An 18,756-nucleotide genomic window follows, 5' to 3' on the forward strand; every position below is an offset into this window, starting at 1 on the left:
GGCCCTGCCAATGACTGACATGGAAAAATGAATCTGTTGGGGTCTTACTTGACTTCCTGTCTGGAACAGATATGGAAAACCAATTCAAAAAGAGTCTTTAAGAAGCCTGGGCCAGGTTAGTGCAGGCAGGGACTGTAGTCTTGCATACTAGTTTCCTGTCTGATAAGACCTTTCAGGTTTTGCTGCCTGGGTTTAATCTCAAGAAGGTTGACCCTCAATGGGCCTGGAAGTGCCTGGAGGTTAGGTTGAAAGCTATCATTAGCAAGACTTCGTCTAGCTTGGGAGAAGGGTTTACTGATCTGGAGAATTTGGCAGCCAAAGCAGGCCTGAAACAATACCAATTTCTTTAGAAAAGAATCAACTTGATGTTTGCTCAGGACCTGGGAAGGAGGTGTGGTGGGCCACAAAGAGTTAACCAAGTCTGGACGCAGTGGCTTACACCTGTAATCCCAGCACTTTGGGAGGCCGAGGCGGGTGGATCATTTGAGGTCAGGAGTTCAAAACCAGCCTGGCCAACATGGTGAAACCCCATCTCTACTAGAAATACAAAAATTAGCCAGGCAGTAGTGGTGGGCACCTGTAATCCCAGCTACTCAGGAGGCTGAGGCAGGAGAATCGCTTCAGCCTGGGAAGCGGAGGTTGCAGTGAGCTGACATCACACCACTGCACACCAGCCTGGGCGACAGAGTGAGACACTGTCTCAAAAAAAAAAAAAAAAAAAGTCCTTAGTTGGATGCTAGTAAATGTCTCATAGTAAGAGCAGTTTATAAACATCTTGCCTTATGCTACTAAAAATACAAAGTAGCTGGTATACTTTTCACCTTCAGGAAAGTATCTGGGATCAAAGAATGGGGAAATGACTTTCTAGGTATTTCTTTTTTTTTTCTTTTTTTAGACGGAGTCTAGCTCTGTTGCCCAGGCTGGAGTGCAGTGGTACAATCTCAGCTCACCACAACCTCCGCCTGCCGGGTTCAAGCGATTCTCCTGCCTCAGCCTCCCAAGTAGCTGGGACTACAGGCATGCGCCACCACACCCAGCTAATTTTTGTATTTTTAGGAGAGGCGGGATTTCACTATGTTGGCCAGGCTGGTCTCGAACTCCTGACCTCGTGATCCACCCGCTTCAGCCTCCCAAAGTGCTGGAATTACAAGCGTGAGCCACTGCGCCTGGCTGTATTTCTAGAACAGCAGGAACAAAGGCATGGAATTAAGGGAGGTGAGTAATCTTGGTCAGAATCATATCATAGTAGGACAATATGAGATGAAATTTGAGGGAGGCTCAAGTGGATTAGCTTTTTATTTCCTAAAGGTGAAGGGGCCAGGATCAGGTTCCAGACTTGAGGAATGGAAAATATTTGGAATAGGCCCTCAGAGTTAGGGCCGAAAGAATCCAAGTGAAGGCGAGTTTAGTTTTTGCGTTCTTAGTCTGTTTCTCTAATGTGGGCACACTACATTAGAAAAAAAGTGGGAGGGGTAGTCCAGATATGACAGAAGGATAAACGGTGAAGGAATCAAGAATACAAATGAGAATGTCTTTAAAGTTGCTAAACACAGATTCCAGGATGTACAGGAAGACAAAGGAGACAGGTTAATTAGGGAGTGGGATAGGGCTGAGGGACCAAAGCCTCCTAAGTAAGTGATGCCCAAAGGTAGTTTCCAGAAAGAGGAAAGGGAGTTTGTCATCTGAGAGAGGGACTCTTGATTTGGTTGATTAGAAGAACCAAACAACGATTAGCCCTAGGCTTCCTCCATGGAAATTCCCTAAAGAAAAGTCTTGCTATTCAGAGTGTTATTAAGTCCCAGGGTCTTCATTGCCACTAATAGATCTTTTTGGAGGGACTGATATCAGATATTTCCCTATTCTTAGGAGGAGATGGCTGTTCAGGGAAGGCCAGATGTTAACAGAAGAAACAGAAGGATATTAAACATGCCATTAAGCTGGTGACTGGAAAAGAAAAAAAAAGTTAAACATTGCCACAAAATCCTTTGGTTTCAGTGTTAAAACTAAATAAACCTCTATGGAGGCAGCAAGATGTTAAATGGGGCAAGAGGGTCATAGACCAGTTTTCATCCTTAGGTAATTTTCATTTATTTGAAATACCCACACTTTGGGCATTGTGGTAAATTCCAGAAGGGCACTTGTCTTGGTCTTTAAATTTGGTTGAATACAGTACTTGAGGTATTGGTTGGATTTTTGAAAGGTAGCCTCATTTATTGAAAGGCTGGCAACGATAAATAGGCTCACGATTCAAAATGGAGCGATACAGACTTACATTGCTTGTCCATGGTTCTGTGATGATAAATCTGTATGTGGGACTATGAAGCTATTAGAAATGTTCAGTTTAAGTGTTTGACATATTGATATGCTGACAGAAAAAACGGTATGCCAATTTTTATGTAATGATCTATGCTCTGTAGAGTGGAATACATAGAAAAGATTTGTCAGAAGTAAGCCAATAACCGTGATCGCCTCTGGGTGGGTAAATTACAGGTGTCCCCTCTCCAGGTACCCTCCCTTCCCCCCATTCCTTACACTTCTTAGTCCTCACATTATCTTGATAAGTTTGGGAAAAAAATAGATAAAACCCGTGAGGTTTTTAAGAATCAGAAACAATTTGAGCTCAAATCAATTAGTGGTCACCCCTGTATACCTTTTAAATAAACCCCTCTAATAGTTGACAGTAGTGGCTTCTGGCTCACTGGGTATCACAGAAAACTTTAGCTTAACTTAGTTTAAACATTAGGAACACAAAATTAGGTGACTATGAGAATTTTCCAGTTGACCAAAATTTTTTCAACTGACTTGAAAAATCCAGCCACCTGCTAAAGGTTGGAAAGACATGACTGGAATACTTAGCTGGACTCCTAACTCAGGTTGCATACAGGAAAGCAGACTACAGTGGCCCAGGGATGAGCAGCAATTTTCTAGGACTAAGTAATTTCTGGAGCTTGTACATTTAGAACACATTTACAACAATTTGTCATGGGACTCAATCTAAAGGGGCTAAATTGCTACTTTTATTTATCCTCTGGGAGGGAATGTGAGAAATAATGGATCAAGTCACATGATACCAATTCAACAGATATGCCAAATCCTTAATGTTCTAGAATGGGTTTCTGAAATCCTATGATTTCATTGGTTTTAGAAAGCTTTGATTCGAAGAATCTTTTGGTGTACAAGTTAATTCAGCTGTAAGTTAGTTTTGAACATGTAAATTTCTTCCAACATAATATATTGTTTGCTTAGTGGGCAATTCATTCTGCAAGAAAATGAACGCAGAAAACTGCACCTCTTGAACCAAGCTGCAGGGAAACACATAAAGCACATACACACACCTCCAATAGATACCAGCTAACTTCTTTCAGTGACATTGAACTACACCCATCCATACTCCCTTTCCCTCTGATTCTAGATAGCCCACCTTCCAGATAACCCACCTTCTTTTCCCTCTATTCCAGATAGCCCTTCATTTCACAGGAAGTCAAATCACAAACCACAACCCTTCTGAGGCCCATTTCAAGTCGTCTTCAAGGTAAAGTGCCATATTTGTTTGTAGTGCTTATATATTTCTTAAATGTTTAACATGTGTAAACCCACTGTTTTTAAATGTGTCACTGGTGAAGTTTTAAAGTGCTATGCCCTAATACCATTTTTCATATAAGCCCTGTGGTTTGTATTTGTGGGACTTTTCATAGTGTAGTGATTTTTAGAAACTAAAATGGAATTCAGTTTCCTAAAAGGTTGTATAGGCTGGCCTTTTTCCTTTCTGTATGAAATGTTTGCTTAATAAAATATTTTGTTGTTCAACATAATTTGTTTCTGCAAAACAGGAGTAAATTCTAGTTATTCAAAAATTTTGGGGACGAGTCCCCACATACGGATTACCCACTCCCAAATAAATTAGGGGATAAAATAAATATATTAGGTTGGCTATAAAATGTTTTTTTGTTTGTTTTGGGAGGCGGGGTCTGGCTGTGTCACCCATGCTAGAGTACAGTGGTGTGATCTTGGGCTCACTGCAACCTCTGTCTCTTGGGTTCGAGCTATTCTCCTGCCTCAGACTCCAGAGTAGCTGGGATTACAGGCATGCACCAATACACCCAGCTAATTTTTGTATTTTTAGTAGAGACGGGGTTTCACCATGTTGCCCAGCCTGGTCTCGAACTCCTGACCTCAAGTAATCTGCCGGCCTCAGCCTCTCAAAGTGCTAGGATTACAGGCATGAACCATCATGCCCGGCCTCAGTTCACTGATTAAGAAAAACGCCTCAGGCTACCACAGTATCTTCTAGATGTTTAATGTGAAAATAATGTGATTGTATTTTATCTATAGAATGGGAGAGATGAGACTACATTGACTTGCCTATGACATCCTGGTAGTTGTTTACTGGACATCTATGATAGGAATTTGTCTATTTGACATTCACCTCTTATAAAGGCCATTCCAAGAAGCAGCTCCTTCCCTGCTGCCCTTCTAGAACAAGAAATGAAGAGTGAATGACTTTGTAAATCTCTCTTGAAAAGTGTATAGAAGTCTCAGTGAATGTGTTTATAAAAAAGGGCCAAACGGAGATCTAAATATGTACACATTTGCTGTCCTTTTTGTTACTTGAAGGGTTGTGCAAATACTACCTTTCTGAAGCCTTCCCTAACCCCAGGCAAAATTTATTACAGCTTTTCCAAATACTTTGTATATACCTGTTATATAATATTTAGCATAGATGGGCCAATCCTCAGCATCTTTTTTAAAATTTTTTAACCATCACATCACCAATGCCTGCCTAACACTTTTGAATAAGTTGTAAATACAAGTTTATTTTTTGTTTTGAGACAGAGTCTTGCTCTGTCTCCCAGGCTGGAGTGCAGTGGCACAATCTCGACTCACTGCAACCTCCGCCTCCCGGGTTCAAGCAATTCTCCTGCCTAAGCCCCCTGAGTAGCTGGGATTACACGCCTGCACCACCACACCCAGCTAATTTTTTGTATTTTTAGTAGAGATGGGGTTTCACCATGTTGGTAAGGCTGGTCTCGAACTTCTGACCTCAGGTGATCCATCCGCCTCAGCCTCCCAAAGTGCTGGGATTACAGGCGTGGGCCACCGCACGTGGCCCAAGATAGTTCTACCTTACACTTACGTAGGGCATGGCATGTGTGGCTGGAAACAGTGATCCCTGAGTCTTTATCTTGAACTTCTTCCACTTACTAAAGCAAACCTGTATCACCTACCTTGAACCGTTGTTTCCATATTCCACAGTAGCCCCACCTGTCAGTTACCATCCTTACTATGCTGCCAGAGGACCACACTCGCTCTCCTTGGGAAAGCAGTCAGTTCGCATCTCATCTTATACTTCCTTCTCATTTTTTTTTTCTATTTTTTTGAGAAAGTCTTGCTCTGTCGCCCAGGCTGGAGTGCAGTGGCACGGTCTTGGCTCACTGCAACCTCTGCCTCCCAGATTCAAGCAATTCTGGTGCCTCAGTCTACAGAGTAGCTGGGACTACAGGCCTGTGCCACCAGGCCCAGCTGATTTTTATATTTTTAGTAGAGAAGGGGTTTCACCATGTTGGCCAGGCTGGTCTCAAACTTCTGGCCTCGTGATCTGCCCACCTTGGCCTCCCAAAGTGTATTTGTTTACTCATCCAGCTCTCCACATCTTTTATCATCTGCAAAATTTGGGTCAAAGACTAAGGGGTGGTGAGGTGGTGTTGGCTTCTGTACCCATAATGCCCTTCCTCTCAAAGTGGAGTCCATTTGACCCACCCATACAACACAGGTCCTTGGTATACCCTCCGCTGGCCCCAGGGCTGAGGTCTTTTTCACAGACAAGACACAGAAGGACAATCCTGTTTTAGCTATAGCCAGTTGTGAAAACCTCCCCAGCCAAGAAAGGGAACTAACTTACAAGGCATGCAGCCAGTGACCTGGAGCCTGCCAACATTTCATTGTCACTTAAAAGTCAATTAATTGTCATTAAAAGAACCAGGCTGATTACTGTGGGAGCCAAAGTACTTCACATACTACTCACATTTGCTATATTTTTATACGGTTTCAAAGCATATCTATCTAGGTTTACATAGTAATTGCATAACCAGGCCATGTCATAACTTTTGCAGTTGGAAAGGTCTGAGTCTGCATCCTGGTGACAGGCCTGGCAGCATACATAACCTTGTGTCTTGGCCAACTTGTTATCCCAATTCATACTGAATACTGTATTGAATACAGAATGATAACTAGCTGGGCGTGGTGTCCCACGCTTGTAATCCCAGCACTCTGGATGGCCAAGGTGGGCGGATCACCTGAGGTCAGGAGTTCAAGACCAGCCTTGGCCAACATGGTGAAACCCTATCCCCACTAAAAATACAAAAATTAGCTGGGCATGGTGGTGTGGGCCTGTAACTTCACCTACTTGGGAGGCTGAGGCAGGAGAATCACTTGAATCTGGGAGGCAGAGGTTGCAGGGAGCCGAGATGGTGCCACTGCACTCCAGCCTGGATGACAACAGCAAATTAGCAAACTCCGTATCAAAAACAAAAACAAAAACAAAAAACAAAAAAACCATTATATAGAATAACTAAATCACTTTTTCCTCTCCCATGGCTGACTGCTGATCTCATTTGTGAGAGCATCTTTAATAGGCTGGCATCTAGAAACAGAACATGTTGTATCAATCTATCTATGGTATACATGCACAGAGCAAAGTAAAGGTATGACAGCACTTTTCTGAAGCTTATTAATTTTACCCAGATGTTATTAAATCCATAACCCATCTACCAAGAAGGGAAGTGACAGAAAACCAGACACTGATTCGTCTGGGTATTACAGTCCCCAGATGCATGGCAGAAATGAATTTGAATGCACGTATTGATTATTCATGAAAAATCCATATTCCAGTAAAAACATTATCAATTAGGGCCAGGTGTGGTGGCTTACACTTGTAATCCCAGCACTTTGGGAGGCTGAGGTGGGAAGATCACTTGAGCTCAGGAGAGACCAGCCTTGGTAACGTAGTGAGAGAGACCTCATCTCTTCTAAATAAATAAATAAATAAATAAATAAAATAAATAAATAAATAACATTTTAAAAATCACGCCTCTAATCCCAGCACTTTGAGAGGCTGAGACTGGCAGATCATCAGGTAAGGAGTTCGAGACCAGCCTCGCCAACGTAGTGAAACCCCATCATCTCTATGAAAAATAGAAAAATTAGCCAAGTGTGGTGGCATGCACCTGTAGTCCCAGCTACTCCGGAGTCTGAGGCAGGAGAATCACTTGAACCTGGGAGGCGGAAGTTGCAGTGAGCCAAGATCACGCCATTGCACTCCAGCCTGGGTGACAGAGTGAAACTCAGTCTCCAAAAGAAAAAAAAATTAGCTGAGCACAGTGATGCGTGCCTATAGTCCCAGCTACTCGGGAGGTTGAGGCAGGAGGATCACCTGAGCCCAGGAGTTCAAGGCTACAGTGAGCTATGATTGCACCACTGCACTGCAGCCTGGGCAACAGAGCGAGAGTGTCTCAAAAAACATTATACACTAGAATGGGAAAGAACTAAAGTAAAGTATTCACCACGACTTTCCCTTTATAAAGGCTCTTTGTTGTTTCTCAAATTATTGTACACATTTAAGATAACACCATACCACCGTCTGGAGGGAGCTGACATACTCAGACATACTCCTGAGGCGCATCAGACCCAACCAAAAGGATGGAGAGAAAAAGGCCAGAGGAACTGCTCCAGTGATTAGGGAGTAATCAGCAATCAATCAACTCCCCAGCCTTCCAAAAAGCTTACAAATGTCATTAAGGATGTAAGCATTATGGTCCTCTCTCTTCACCCCAGATTTACAAGGAATTAATTAGGTCAGCAGCATGGAATTCAGACTATGGATACAATATTCTTCAGACTACGGATAGAATACTGTCATTAAGGTGGGTTTGCACTGAAACAAGCCACATTACCTGGCTTTATCTTCGTTAGCTTCAGCTATTCAGAATAAGTTGTAAATATGGTTAAAAGGTGGCTCATGCAAGAGCAAGAGAAGCAAAAGGTTTTGAGGAAAAACAATCACCACAGACTTTGGGATCCTGGCAGGCTTTAGGGGACCAGCAGGTGGTACTCTACTCCAGAATTAACACCTTGGCTTTCACTTAATTTTACATCAAAATTAAATCAGATGGAACATATGAAAGCATTAGACAAAAGCCACTTTATCAGCTGAGGCACATTTGGAAAAATGGTATTTAAAAAAGTCAAAAGCTCACCAAAGAAGGTTCACAAAATCATCTGAAATATTCCTCAGGCCAATTTTTCTTTCTAGCCAAGTAGTCATTATCCATCCCATGATAAGTATAGGTAATTAATGTGAAATGCCACATGTAGGTAATTCACATGAAATGTAATTGCTCACATTCCTGGCTGAACCTTGCCTGAAGTGGAGGGTGTTGTAACAGATTACATGGAGCTAAACGATGGTGACATAAGGAAAAACAGTATAAACTAAGCAACTTGCAAGGTGTCACAACTTGGACTCCCACTTTTTTCTTTTAAGCTGAATGCTTTCAGTTGAGAAGAAAGGCTATCCTCTCAATATCCTGCAGGTGTCAGTGGAGAGCTACATCTTTCCAGTAACTTAAAGGGTTGGGAATATGTCAGCCTTAACCAACCGACAATAGCAGCCAGCTATTAAAACCAAGACTTCAAATTAATTAAAATAACTTTCTAAGGTCATACAGTAAGTGGCAGAACTCATATTTATACCCAGGATGACTGACTTCGGGCTCTTCTCTGCCCCCAGTGTCATGCTTGTCAACAGAGGGAGTACTCTGGAAAAAGTCAATTTTTGATAAAGTCCTTTTAATGGAAAATGTAAAACCCCTTTCAACTTTAATGTACAAAGCCATATGTAACACTTGCACTTTAACAAAAGCAAGCCAATGTTTTAAAAAAATACATCATTAAATGTATATATGTATATATTTACATAGCATATTAAGTTTAATATTTAGCTTTAAAAGTTCACATAAATTTTACCAAAATGAGACAATTTTAAATAAATTACACCTTTTGAAAATGTTTAATTGTACAGTCAATAGCTTCAACAAAATATTGAAGTGTCTGTATTTAGTATCTACTTTATATACTTTATACTTTACAAATTTTACAATTATTTGGCAGTAATTTTCTGATTATGACATGACTGCTGTGCGATTCAGCAATTTCCCAGATGCAGGCAATAGCTGGTGTTTGTGTCCTATTCTCACAGTAACTGTCTCAATGTAGTGAAAAATATCAGTAATTTTAGTAAACTGTACAAGGTCACATTTACACTTGATCAACAATATAGCATAGAATTTTTTATTTTTTACCAAAAATAAATACATCATTTTAAATCTGGCATTTTCACAAACATCATATACACTATAATACAAAACAGCTATATAGTGCTGCTTTTAAAATTCTGCTTGTTTTATAACATTGAATCACAGGAGCTGTGACATATGCTATACTGCTGTGGTGTCAGTAACAAGTAATTACTACAAAGAGAATTTCTTGGCACTGATGGTTTTATGAAGCTTAAAGTCAGTGTGCATACATATCATCATTCAAGGTTAAGTAATCCCAGTTCAACAACCTAAAAATATCAAACTGGATCACACTTAATTTTCTTCCATATCCTCTACTTCATCCTCGTGTATCTTCAAGGCTCTCACCATTTCTTTGACTGCATGATACAAAATATTTTTAACCTGAAAGAGATGTTGATATTTCTAATCACTTCAGTTCGACAGAAATTAATTAAAAAATGACAACTTCCAGATTTAAAAAAATAATAGGGAACTAGGAAAGCCAAATATAAGAAAAATGTTTGAAAGTGTTAAGCCAAAAGGGACACTATAAATCATACAATTAAATACATGTTGGTGTTAATCTTTGGTTGTCACCCTAATGTGACCAACTAGGCAATGACTGCCTAAGCTGTTATACATGTATCATATTTCTGAATATAAAAAGCCTGAAGAACAGGACCTAGAACACCCAACTCTTACCTGTAGTTTATCATCATAATTGATTTCTTCCTTCAAAAGTCTCAGTTCCTGTGTTAAATGAAATGACTCTACAAGATGTTCTGGAGACACAAAATCTTCAGTTACCTGAATACAGCTGTGAAAATTCTGAACCTATCCCCAAAAGAAAAACCGTGAAATACAAGTTTTAGGAGGTGGAGCAAAGAAAAGCCAAGTTATTTAAAACCAATAAACACAAGAGACAATTCTGCTGGAGAATTTACTTTCTCCAAAACATCAAATGGATTTTAAAGCAGAAGACCACATTTTATGAGAAAGTTATGTCACTGAAAAGCTTCATGTAAAGTGACTTTGTAAATGGAATATTTTTAAATGATAAAAAGAAAATAACTTTTCCAGGAATCCTTTGGAGAGGCTGATAACCAGATATTAAATTATCAATTTTGCCAAAGTGGACTTTTAAAAAATGTGTTACTTTTAAAAACTAACTTGAAAGAATTTATGAGGCAATCTATCTGAGTATGTTTATTGTTGCTCCATTGGCTTTCAGGATTTTGGTCATTTCACTGTTAACTCTTACATCAGAGAATAAAGAAAAGAAAATGAAACTTTGTTAGGAACTGGGATGGAAAATGTAGTCCCAGACAGATCTACTGACCTCGACTGAGTTTCAGAAATATCCCAGGATTTTGGTTATTCATGCCTTTCTTTTGTGACTTTCTTTCAAATTAGCCAATTAAAGATACCCCTTCAATCACCGGTGACATCAGTACAACAGTTTTTCAACAGTTTTCTCTCTCCTGACCAAACAGTTTTCCCAAGAAGCCAGTCAATAGTCTTATCTGTTATTTGTTCAGCATTTACAAACTGACTTTGCACTTGACTATTAGAGCTGCTTTCTATTAATGCCAGTAAAACAACAGAGGAAGGCCCAAGCTGATCCAATCTGGGATTTGTGGTGTTTCTAGATTGTCTTCTAGTGATATTAAAAAACATCATAAAAATTCCTGGGAAAGGAGAAATAATTGAAAAACTAAGCATTTAAAGTTACTCTAAGTATGCAAAATAAATTTAATTGGGAGGAGTGAGATGAAAGAGATAGTAAGTGGGAAATGGAGACTGTGGGGAAAAAAAATCTAATTGATGATAGGGTGATGGAATTCCAGAGGGGCTAGAATTCCTCCTCTGGGCATAATGACCACCTGAACAGCTGCTGAAGTCTGCAGAGTTCTTTAACTCAAGCACTGTGCCTCTATTGATAACTTGGTAGCATAGTAAAGTAAACATTCTCTTTCTTTAATCATTAGGCTGTTGGTTCCTCTGGAGGATGAACATAGTGGATGCCTCACATTTTCAGCATTTCTGTACAGTCTCACTGGCTCTTCATAATGTGTCTGTAGAACAGATGCTCTATTTCACAGAGCAGGAAACTATGGATGAGATGTTCAGCGCCTGTCCCAAGACAAATCAGCCAATAAATGGCAAGTCAACAGGAGCCCAACTCCTGCGGTGTCTTGTCTAACAGATGCTTTACAGTCCTGCTTATTAACTCTCATACCAGCATACAGAGTCTCCAAATGCCCTCTCTCCTTATGTCTTTCATTTATCTGAACTTAAGGAGAGTAAGTCTTTCCAAAGTTTTAGCATGAAAGAACTTTTGGTATATCTAGCTCTAGCATGTCCTAAAATCATTTGTAGCTCCAAAATGTATACTTGGTTCTTTTTTTATATAATTTATTGATATTCTCACTTTGTTCATCCATCGTTTTCCTGATTTCTGCTGGCTCTTTGAGCATATTTAAGACAGTTGTCTAGTAGTAAGTCCAATGTCTGGGCTTCCCGGGGAAGGTTTTTGCCAATTTATTTTCTCCCTTTGAATGGGCCATACTTTCCTCTTTCTGTGTATGCCTTATACCTTTCTGTTGAAAACTGGGCATCTGAACATTACAATGGGTAATCATATTCTCTCCCTGCCTCAGGGTTTGCTGTTGTTGATTCCTGAGGGCTCCAGTCATCCATTTGTTTAGTGACTTTTCCAAACTGTTTTTGCAAAGGCAGTATTCCTTGTTGGGTGTGGTCACTGAAGTCTCTGTTCCACTATCTCACTGGTCAGCCAGTTACCTAACAGAGATTTCCTTAAATGCCAAAAATCAGCTGCCCTTTTCTTCATTAAGCAGTCTCTTGGTTGCTGTTGTAAGTTTTCAATTAGATTCCAGAGTTCTGAAAAAGTTCATTCTGTCAGTCTTTGCCAGCTTATGGTTGTTTTAAAATGACTTTTAGAACAGTAACCTTTATTAGTGCTTACAAGATGCTATTAGGTTTCCTAATGACCCCTACCTGATATATTTTGGATAAAGGCTTGAGGGTTACTTTGAAGAGCCAAGGTTCAGTTTTAAAGCAGAACACAACTCAGCTTCTCATTCTGATTATCCCTTTTCTTTGCCACATTTGACTCATTTATATTTCACTTCCTTGACATTGTCTTATTCATACTTGCCTAAAAGCATCAGTTATAATTATAAATAGGTAATGTTAAGAAAATATAATTTGTATTCATAGTAGGAAGGTTATTATATTGACACTGTGATTGCTATTTACTCAGTTATTTGTGAGAACTTAGTGTGGAAAGATTTTGCCAAGAAGTCCTTTTGGTCATATAAATACAGAGAATTACAACTTTACAATTTTCTAAACTCATGATAAATGACCAAACACAATCAAAGTTAGTATTTTTCGACAAATTTTACTAAAGATTATGTGTTAACTTAAAAAAAAAACAACTGTTGCTGTTTTTAAGTAAAGGCCACTCTAAACCTCAGAATACTACAGCTGAGACAAAAATCCTGGAGGTCAGGGTCATTGCTCTGTGGAGGGATGTACAGGAGTTTCACAGACTGAGTCCCAGTTACCAAGGTAAGATTTGTAAGTCTCCAATTCTAGAATAGTTCTTAGCATATAAAGAGGGCTGTGGCTATGCTGCTTTCCCTCAGCTTGCTAAGATTATATATCTCAGCTTCCTTGAACAGACAGCCCACTCTTCTCAGTTTGGCTCTGGCAATGGTCATTGCTGACGGGCCAAAGAACAGAATGTTGTTTCTTCCCTAGCACTGCTGGCCCTTGTCATGCAGAATCACTTGGTTGAAAATTTTTTGATAGGTGCCTTGGGTTTGCATGAGATTCCTATTTGTGTGGTTTCCAAAGTGTGGTCCCTGAACAGTAAAATCAGCATTTCCTGGAAACTTGTCAGAAATCTATAGTTTCAGGTCCCTCCCCAGACCCATTGAAATCAGAAACTCTGGTGGTGGGGTACAGCAATCTGCTTTATCAAGCCCTCCATGAAATTCTAACATATGCTGAAGTGTCAGAATACTGATTTAGAGTCTGATTATTCTGAGGGCCACCTATAGCCTACTGGAAGTGTTGAAGTCATTAACAGTTTTCAGAACTTCTAAGACCTAAACAGGTTGTAAGTAATAATGCATCTCAAATCCAGGTTAATATTGTAAACACTTATTACTTCCCTTGAATTTTCTCTTAAAACTGCATTGCCACCAATTGTGAATTACGGACAACATCCTTTCAACAGAGTATAAAGAGCTGTGTTGTTGTCATTACACCCCACAGGAGAGGAAAGGTAGCAATTCCCTTTTGTACAGCTGGCAATTTCTGTGCCAAAATATGTAGCAAAGAAGTTAGATCTTGTTTTGGATCACTCAGCAATTTAGTGGCAGAGCTCAGAATATAATTTGTCAGTCTAGGTCATATATGCTGCCTTGGTGTATTTAGATATAACATTTTTTATAGATGTAATCTTGTTTCTATAATCTATGTGAATTTTCTAACTATCTCAAAGAAAATGTGTATAGACATAAAGTGGATTCCAACCTAAGTAAACTTTTGGAAGTAGCCAGAGAAAGCACATATAGGAAGAAGTAAACATTTACATGTTTTACAAAAAGCCCAATACATATAAATTATAGAAAGCCATAAATTTGTTTTCCTCTACCCTTGTGCAAAAACATGTTGTTACTGAGAACGTATTTTCTGGCCTTCAGAATAGAGACTTATTAATAATACAAACATTAAGTGCATTATTCTAGGCATGGGAAGAGAGCAATGGAAAAGATAAATCTCTTACTTCATCATGCTTACGTTCCAGTGGGGGTTAAAAGACAAGCAAAGTGAGTAAATTATAAAGCATATTTTAAGGTGACAACTGAAATGGAGGAAAATAAAGCAGGAAAGACGACAGAAAGTTGGGGGACACAATTTACAGCTTTAAACTAGACCTCACCAAGAAGGTGAAATTTGAATGAAGCCTAAAAAAGTGTAAAGAAGCAAGTCTTACAGATACCTGACAGAAAAACGATTCCAAGCAAAAAAGATTAAGAAGCACAAAAACCCTGGGGGAGGGGGGAAACATACTTGGTGTGTGTGAAAGAAGCAAAGAGGGCAGGATGGCTAGAGAGGAACTAGGAGAGCCATACGAGATGAAGGCAGTGAGACAGAGGGGGAAGTGTGGATATGTAAACCAACCTAACTTTTTAACAAGGTCACTTTGAGCCTACTAAAAGACCACTGTTCCCAAAAAAGTAGCAGCAGGGACACAAGTGTAAGCATGGAATCTCTTTGGGGTAACAATGATTGCATCTGGAAAAAAGGAACTGGGGGAAAAATGTGAGATACTGAATTTTCACCGTGAACTTTTTATACTTTTGAATTTTTCTGTTTATGTATTACATTTTCAAAAGAAAAACATTAAAAAGTAGTATTTTCAACAAATAGTACTGGAACAGCCAAATGCCCATATGCAAAAAATTGAACCTCGCTCCATACTATGCACTACATACAAAGATGAACTACATTGCATACCCAAATGTAGGACCTCAAACTATAATGGTTCTAGAAGAAAATGAGGAGAAAATCTGAGTGATCTTGGGCTAGGCAACAATTTTGTAGATACTATGAAAATACCATCCATAAAAGAGAAACTGATCAACTGGACCTCATCAAAATGGAAAAAACCAGCCAGGTGGGTTGGCTCATGCCTACAATCCCAACACTTTGGGAGGCCAAGGCAGGAAGATTGCCTGAGCTTAGGAGTTCGAGACCAGCCTGAGCAACACAGCAAGACCCCATCTCCACAAAAAATTAAAAAATCAGCTGGGCATGGTGGTGTCCATCTACAGTACTAGCTACTCAGGAGGGTGTGGTGGGGGGATCACTTGAACCCAGGAGTTTGAGATTACAGTGAGCTATGACTGTGCCACTGCACTCTAACCTGGGCAACAGAGCAAGATACTGTCTTTTAAAAAATGGAAAAATGAAAAAAAAATGCTCTTTGAAAAGAGAAGCTACAGGAAAGGAAAATGTATTTGTAAAACACATTATCAGATAAAAGACATTATCAGAAATTGGCAAAAAACACTCAAAACTCAGTAAGAAAAAAAGCAGCTAAATAGACAGAATATTTGAACACATATTTAACCAAAGTAGATATACAGATGGCAAATGAAGATATAAAAAGATGCCCAATGTTTAGTCATTAAGAAAGTACAAAGTAAAACCACCATGAGACACCACTGTACACTTACTAGAATGGTCTAAAAACAAAACTGACAGTAACAAGCACTAGTGAGGAAGCAGAGGAAATGAAACTCACATAACCCTGCACTGGGAAATGAAAATGGAACAACCAATTTAGAGAATAGTCTGGCAGTTTCTTAAATTTAATCATACATTATAGTATCACCAGGCAATCCCACCATTCAGTATTTACTTAACAGAAATAAAAATCTTTGTTCACATAAAACCATGTATATGAATGTTTATGATAGCTTTATCTATTATTGCCCCAAAGTGGAAAAAACCAAAATGTACTTCAGCTGGTGAATGTACGGATTTAAAAAATGAAAAAAATATTCATACAACTACCCAGCAATAAAAAAAGAATCAACTGATAAATACAACAATAGGAATGAATCTCAAATACATTAAGAAAAGCCAGACTTAAAGGGTACATACTGTGTGAGTCCAAATTTACAGCATACTCATAAAAGAGGAACTATAGGGACAAAAAAGCAGATTAGTTGCAGGAACTTTGGGTGGGAAGAGGCTGACTATAAAAGTGCAAGAGGATGCCGAGCATGGTGGCTCATGCCTGTAATCCCAGCACTTTGGGAGGCCAAGGCAGACAGATTACCTGAAGTCAGGAGTTCGAGACCAGCCTGACCAACGTGGAAAAACCCCATCTCTACTAAAAATACAAAATTAGACAGGCGTGGTGGTGCATGCCTGTAATCCGCAGCTACTCGGGAGGCTGAGGCAGGAGAATCGCTTGAACCCGGAAGGCAGAGGTTGCAGTGAGCCAAGATCGCGCCACTGAGCTCTAGCCTGGGCAACAAGAGCAAGACTCTGTCTCAAAAAAACAAAAAACAAAAAACAAAAAAAAAAACTGCAAGAGGGAATTTTTTCGGAGTGATGGAATTGTTCTACATTTTGATTATGTTGTTACCTAACTATGCATTTGTTGAAACTCACAGAATTATACATTAAATAAGGTAAATTTCACTATATGCAAATTATATCTCAATTTACAAAAATGACTACACTACCTAGGTTAACTTTATAAAAACTGACATTGGATAAATTCAATATGTGAATAAAGATCTTCAAGGGAATCTACTTTGTATTATCAAAGGATTATTCCTATGTACAAAAAGATTTATAATACTAGTCTCTTAAATAGGCTCTTCTTTTGAGAGCATTTACATTTGAATACAGATTAGCTATTTTCTGCTAAGAGTCTAGAAGTCAAAGAAATGGTGTATAGGGTGAATCCCAGATTAAACATGAAACATAAATAATATGACATCTCTGAAATAATCATAAGTCCATGGGAAAATATAACCACTTAATGTAAATACATTTTTTCCAGGAAATTATCATAGAGAAAAAGGTATTTATTATTATGACATTTGTATTTTACTACTGTATCATAAATGCCATTTGAGATCTAATAATGATAAATCTGACCCTGAATCTGACACATCCTAAAAGCTAAGCAATTATTATCACCTAAGTAGTATTTGTATGGAAGAGTGCCATAAATGCTAAAACAGTCAATGACTATACTTATATAAAATGTGAGAAAGTTTCCTTGGTAAACTAATATACATCAGCTACATCTCAATTACTTAGCAGTGGAAAAGGTGGAGAACCAACTGTTGAGGCAAAGCAGCTTTTGAGTTTTTTCTGGTTTCCCTGGTACACCTTGTTAATTTTAAGGGTTAACCTGGGCTGTAGTAGCCCCATTCCACCTATAGGAATCCACTGTGTACTTTTAATCCCACCCTCCATAACCACTGCATCTATTCTATGCCATTTTTCCCGGTGCTGGAAAAATTAGGTATTTTAAACTAGGTATTTATTTTAGTTTTTATGTTTTGTGGATCAACAGTTATATAAATTACATACCATCTTTCTTTAGACAGGCCCCTGATATGCTAGCATGCTGAAGAAAGGTAGGAGGTATGCTTAAAGCCTGATAAAAAGTCTGTATACTGTGTCCCCCCATGCTTTTAAGCCTCACTATTCAGAGGTATACATGTCACCAGGAGGGCTTAAAAATCAGATTTCGATCTATTAAATCGGAGACAGTATACAAATAGAAATCTGGCTCATGTTAAAACAATTTAAAATCTTAAGGAAATTATGTGAGATTTCTGCAAGCACTGAGATGTCATTCTAATAAAGGCAGACTGGTGCAGGTAATTCTCTTATTTGCATCTTCTTCCATTTATATCTATACTAAGAGCAATTTTTTTTTCAAAACTAGTTCTTTCAGTCAGTAAAAAATATGTTAGAAATAAGTTTGTATATACCTGATGAAGTGCTCCCGCTGGCAAAACAATAGCATCACCAAGGAACTGAATAAGAGTACAGGTTCTGACTCCATATTCTTCAAGCAGCCTTTGACGGAGCTTTTTGTTCACATACCAACTTTGGTCACGTATTGGATCATGTTCTGGTAGAACTTCAAGGCCTTGTTCTTTTGAAATCTGAAATATGAATTAAAATAGACACTCCAATTTAAGTAAGGAAATGGTAAATCCTGTTCAGTTAAATTTCAATTTTATTTGTAATAACAAATCTTTTCTTCTCAGAATCAATGGAACAACTGAATGAGCTTCTTCAGTTAAAAAATAACATTCTGCAATAATTTGGAAAGCCAAAGAATATTAAAACAATACAGCAATGCTGAAATGCTCTTAACAGTTTACTACTTCCTTCTCACCACCTCCTTCCACTATGAAGTTTCCATCTATCTGGTTTCCTTCCTTATAACTGTTTCAAAAGTATAGCACATGGATGAGGAACAGGGTATTTTTTTTTTTTTTTTTTTTTTACCAAAAGCCAAACCATTCATATGTATGGATTTCATAAACATTTATTGATCCTTTTTTGAGGTAAGTATAAATACCTTTACATGGCTAACCTTCTAACACTTGAAAAATCAATTTCAAGGGACTCTTTAATCAGTTAAATAATCTGCTTTAGAAGGCACAAATGATCATACTTCAGATTAAAATACAGGTAAGTATTCAGGGATAAAATGGTACAAAAAAGGCTGTAACTCTTTTACTTCACATTGATCACAGACAGAACTTACATCCTTTCAGAAAGATGATGTATCAGCACTGAACATTTCTTAAAACAAATTTCCATAATTACGAAGTTT

General features: G+C 38.7%; 1 protein-coding gene across 13 annotated transcripts in view; it reads right to left on the bottom strand.

Annotated features, from left to right (window-relative positions):
* Nucleotides 8,828-18,756, bottom strand: part of JMJD1C (jumonji domain containing 1C) — a 354,666-nt gene continuing 344,737 nt past the window's right edge. For 12 of the 13 annotated variants that reach the window (XM_017015897.2, NM_001322258.2, NM_001318154.2 and 9 more), the window contains 3 exons: nucleotides 17,900-18,076; nucleotides 10,038-10,169; nucleotides 8,828-9,737 (listed from right to left, as the gene is read on the bottom strand). In XM_017015897.2, the coding sequence (XP_016871386.1) occupies nucleotides 9,648-9,737; nucleotides 10,038-10,169; nucleotides 17,900-18,076 (399 nt within the window). In that variant the 3' untranslated portion in view covers nucleotides 8,828-9,647. The remainder of the gene's footprint in view (nucleotides 9,738-10,037; nucleotides 10,170-17,899; nucleotides 18,077-18,756) is intronic. The other variant, NR_134512.2, reaches the window with a different exon arrangement.

Source organism: Homo sapiens, chromosome 10 (assembly GCF_000001405.40).
Source record: "Homo sapiens chromosome 10, GRCh38.p14 Primary Assembly".
NCBI lineage: Eukaryota > Metazoa > Chordata > Mammalia > Primates > Hominidae > Homo > Homo sapiens.